Genomic DNA, 5,369 nt, shown 5'->3' with positions numbered 1-5,369 from the left:
CTGCAGCTGCGTCCCCGACGGCGCGCCTGATTGGACCGATCGCAGAGCTCCTCCCCGGTGCCCCTGATTGGGTACAGCTTCGGGCTCTGCCCCCTGCATCTTGACAGATGTGAATGACAGGAGATGTGAAGCATAGATGAGTGAAGCGGGAATGAGGGGTCTTGGCCCCAGCCCTCAAACGCAGGGTGGACTTCTTCCCCTCGTCCCCTTCACTGTACTTGGTCTGCGGGGGATGGGGAGATGGGAGATACTTGCATTTTAGCAGAACTTAATCCGGGTTTACCAAAGGAGATACTTCCTGTACTCAGTGGGTCATTTCTTCATCTACCTCTTGCATGAGGAGTCACAGGTGTGCGCAGGGAGTTCCAGGCAGGACTGGAACAGAAGAAAGGGCGTGATATTCCCAGGGATCGGAAATTTGGGATGAGGATATGGGAAGCGTGCCCAAGGCTTTCTCATACCATACCTCTTTATCTCTCTCTATTTTTTACTTTATTTACTTATTTATTACTTTATTTACTTATTTATTACTTTATTTATTTATTTGAGACAGGGTCTAGCTCTGCCACCCAGGTTAGAGTGCAATGGCATGATCATAGCTCACTGCAGCCTCCATCTCCTGGGTTCAAGCGAACCTTCCGCTTCAGTCCCCTGAGTAGTAGAGACTACAGGTACATGCCACCAAGCCCGGCAAATTCTTTAATTTTTTGTAGAGACGGGATTTCGTTTGTTGTCCAGGCTGGTCTTGAACTCCTAGCCTCAAGTGAACCTCCCACTTTCGCCTCCCAAATCAATCTACTCATTTTCACCCAAGAAAATAAAAAACTGCCAACAAGTGAATAAAATTATTAAATACATGGAAAAACAAGTTCTATTTCCGTAATCTGTAAAGAAATCAAAAGGGAAGTAAAGCGAAAATTTGAACTAGCTCAGATAAGCAGGGCACTTCAGAACATTTAAAAAGGAAAAGATGAATTCAGAAGGTAGAACATATTCCCAAGCTTAAGAGTCAGTGACTGCTGAAGTGGAGCCACAGAGTACATTAGACCCTGATGATGAGGCAGGAAACCTAAGGATTTAACTCTGGGAGCTCAACATGCCCTCCTGTCACAGCATCACAATGTGGGAACGCTCCCTCCTTCAATACCTTAATAATTTACACCAGCAGAAAACTCTCACCTGTGGTCAATTTAGGCCCCTTGAAATTCCAACCTCTCTAGCTCATAAACCATTTCTCTGGAACGCTACCTAAATGAGTCTCTAAATATGATCTTTACATATTTTCTTCATATATACAAATTACAGCCTGACTGCAGCAACTCTATACATAGAAAAATCAAGGCCGGGCACAGTGGTTCATGCCTGTAATCCCCAACACTTTGAGAGGCCGAGGCGGGCGGATCACTTGAGGTCAGGAGTTCAAAACCAGCCTGGCCAAGATGGCGAAACCCCGTCTCTACTAAAATTACAAAAATTAGCCGGGCGCCTATAATCCCAGCTTCTGGGGAGGCTGAGGCACAAGAATCGCTTGAACCCGGGAGGTAGAGGTTCCAGTGAGCCGAGATCGCGCCACTGCACTCCAGCCTGGGTGACAGAGCAAGACTCCGTCTCAAAAAACAAAAAGTTTTCCGGAAAACTACCTTGGGAAACTAGAGGTACAACCTCAGAAAGGAGAGAAACCCGCACGTGCATTTGCCTGTGAAGTTCCTGCTTTCCAGGGCTCTGCAGCTTCTCAGAATCCACACTCCTGGAGCTGGAGCTGGAGCTGTTCGGAGCAGCTGGAGACTACCTACAGGGGAAGGCAGGCTGCCCAGGAAGCAATCGGGGGAGCTCCCTTTCCCTCCCTTTGCAGGCTCCAGATTAGTCTCAGTGTGGATCACCGGCCTCAGGCTATGCTGCCCCCTGCAAGTTTTCCACCTGCTTTTCACCCACATTGTTCAGTTCCACGAGGCAAACACCCTCAATCCCAGTGTTCGAAAGAGAATCCAGCAGAGTCCCTGCTTTCCTCCTGTGTTTACCGTAAAGTAGAAGAGAAAAATTTCAAGACAGTTTTAAGTGGATTTTAAAACTGGCAAATAATTATTCCTTTGATAAAATGAAGAAGCCAGCAAACTATTATTTCGACATTAACAAACTGTTATATAAAACCACTAATGAAGGTCGGGCGCGGTGGCTCACGCCTGTAATCTCAGCACTTTGGGAGGGCGAGGCGGGCGGATCACCTAAGGTTAGGAGTTCGAGACCAGCCTGACCAACATGGAGAAACCTCGTCTCTAAAAGTACAAAATTAGCCAGGCGTGGTGGCGCGTGCCTGTAATCCCAGCTACTCAGGAGGCTGAGGCAGGAGAATCGCTTGAACCTGGGAGGCGGAAGTTGCCGTGAGCTGAGATCACACCATTGCACTCCAGCCTGGGCAACAAGAGCAACACGGTGAAACTCTGTCTCTACTAAAATACAAAAAATTAGCTGGGCGTGGCAGTGTGCGCCTGTAGTCCCAGCTACTCGGGAGGCTGAGACAGGAGAATTGCTTGAACCCCAGAGGCAGAGGTTGCAGTGAGTTGAGATCGCGCCACTGCACTCCAGCCTGGGCGACAGAGCGAGACTCCGTCTCCAAAAAAAAAAAAAAAAACTAATGAAATATGGACTCTCTTCTGCTTCAGCAGCTCCCTGACCTTCACAGTTGATGGTTGTCACCAGGTGCTCTGTGTCAGGAGATGTACATGTGCAGTTTAGCCATTGAAAATTCTCTCTTAAATCGGGCGCGGTGGCTGCGCTAGGGGGACTCCAGTCCACCGGTCCCGAAGTCGCCCCGGACAGGCCTGGGTCCCGTCACAGCAGGTTCCTGTCCAGCACCTTGCTCCACAGTCTCGGGACATCCCCCCAGCACTCACCATTTCCTGGCTTCTGAGGTGTCTATGGTTCTCCTTATGTCTTTCGTGTTCATTGCAAGTCACAGCTGGAAAGAAGCTGCAGCGAAGCCACCTCTGGTGCTTCTCAGAGCAGCATAGACCTGACACCCACTGTGGGCGGGTGAAAGGAACGCCTCGCAGTTTTATGGAGCTTCGCGGCCTCCTCCCAGAGCCGCGCCTGATTGGACAATTTGCACAGCCACACCCCCCCGCCCCTCCTGATTGGACAGTGCCACGGGCCCCGCCTTCTGGGAGGCGGAGTGAGAGGAGAATTTAACACCTGGCTGAGTGGAGCTTGAATGAAAGGTTCTAGGCCCGACATGTGGCTCACACCTATACAATCCCAGGACTCGGGGAGGGCTGGAAAGGAGAACTGCTTGAGGCCAGGAGTTCAAGACCAGCTTGAGCAACGTAGTGAGACCTCATCTCTAAAAAAAAAAGAAAAAAAAAAAAAATTAGCCCAGCCTGGTGGCCCTGCAACTATAGTCCCAGCTACTTAGCAGGCTGAGTAAAGAGGATTGCTTGAACCTTGAAGGTAGAGGCTGCAGTTAGCTATGATCAGCGCACTGCACTCCAGCCTAGGTGACAGAGTAACACCCTGTCTCGAAAAAAAAAAAAAAGAAAAGAAAAGAAAAGAAAAATATAGATTCTAGCCACAGCCGGATTTCCTCCTTGCACTGCAGCCTGGCCCCCACCCTGGGGATACTGGTATTTCAGAATATGTTTCAGGCTTTCCAGAGCTGACACTGTTGTCTTCCTGTACTCAGTGGGCCCTTCTTTCAGGGGAGGTGGGGGTGGGGGGAGGGGGTTTGAGGTGGGGAGGTTGTCTGCCTTGAGGTCTAGTCAGGCCAACACTGGAAGAGGAGAGAGGCCTGATGTCGTCAGAGATTATAAATTTGGGATGAGGGATAGCCAAAGATTTTTCATACTTTATCTCTCAGTCTACTCATTTTCACTCAAGAAAACAACAAGCCAACAACAGAATAAAACTAAGTGCATGGAAAAGCTGGAATTATATGGCAGCTATATATATACACATATATATACATATATGTGTATATATATACTTATATATGTGTTTGTATATATACACATATATGTGTATATATACAAACACATATATAAGTGTGTGTGTGTATATATATATATATATATATATATATATATATATATATATGTTTTTTTTTTTTTGAAACGGAGTCTCGCTCTGTCGCCCAGCTGGAGTTCAGTGGCACAATCTCAGTTCACTGCAACCTCCATCTCCCGGGTTCAAGCGATTCTCCTGCCTCGGCCTCCTGAGTAGCTGGGATTACAGGCGTGTGCCACCACGCCCGGCTAATTTTTGTATTTTTAGTAGAGACGGGGTTTCACCATGTTGGTCAGGCTGGTCTCGAACTCCTGACTTCGTGATCCGCCCGCCTCGGCCTCCCAAAGTGCTGGGATTACAGGCGTGAGCCACCGCGCCCAGCCGGCAGCAATATTTTATAAAGGAATCAAAAGAAAAGTAAAGCAAACATTTGAAGTAGTTCAGATAAGCAGCCTGCTTCATGCACAGTTCACAAGGAAAACCCTCTGTCAGAAGGTAAATGATATTTCCAAGCTTGGAAGCCAAACTGTGACTGCTGAAATGGAGCCCCCCAGGGCGGGTCAGTCCCAGATGATGAGGCAGAGAAAATTAAGGATTTATCTGGGAGTTTGAAATGCCCTTCTGTCCCCTCCTCAGTTTAGAAATTATTCTCTCCTTTAAGACCTTCATTTTCACCAACAGGAAGCTCTCGACTTGAGTCAGTTTAAGCTAAATTTACTGTTAAATTCATAAACCCGCAGGGCGCGGTGGCTCACGCCTGTAATCCCAGCACTTTGGGAAGCCGAGGCGGACGGATCACGAGGTCAGGAGATCGAGACAATCCTGGCTAACACGGTGAAACCCCGTCTCTACTAAAAATACAAAAAATTAGCCGGGCGTGGTGGCAGGCGCCTGTAGTCCCAGCTACTTGGGAGGTTGAGGCAGGAGAATGGCATGAACCCGGGCGGGAGGCGGAGCTTGCAGTGAGCCGAGATTGCGCCACTGCACTCCAGCCCGGACGACAGAGCGAGACTCCGTCTCAAAAAAAATGATAATAAATACAATAAAATAAAATAATAAATAAAAATTCATAAACCCTTTCTCCAGGAGGCATCCCAAATGGGTCTTGCTCTAATTCTGACCTTCACAGATTTTCTTTTTCTTTTTCTTTCTTTTTTTTTTTTGAGACAGTCTAGCCCTGTCGCCCAGGCTGGAGTGCAGTGGCGCAATCTCGGCTCACTGCAAGCTCCGCCTCCCGGGTTCACGCCATTCTCCTGCCTCAGCCTCCCGAGTAGCTGGGACTATAGGCGCCCGCCACCGCACCCGACTAATTTTTTGTATTTTTAGTAGAGACGGGGCTTCTCCGTGTTAGCCAGGATGGTCTTGATTTCCTG

The 5,369-nt window shown here is 48.4% G+C and overlaps 1 annotated feature.

Annotated features, from left to right (window-relative positions):
* Window positions 11-100: an enhancer, noted in NCBI's record as "active region_14045". NCBI's record gives its function as "activates an Ori minimal core promoter by ATAC-STARR-seq in GM12878 lymphoblastoid cells {active_cell/tissue: GM12878}" and the evidence as "EXISTENCE:reporter gene assay evidence [ECO:0000049][PMID:35858748]".

The sequence above is a fragment of the Homo sapiens genome, chromosome 19 (genome assembly GCF_000001405.40).
Source record: "Homo sapiens chromosome 19, GRCh38.p14 Primary Assembly".
NCBI lineage: Eukaryota > Metazoa > Chordata > Mammalia > Primates > Hominidae > Homo > Homo sapiens.
This window is presented reverse-complemented; position numbering and strand designations above follow the sequence as displayed.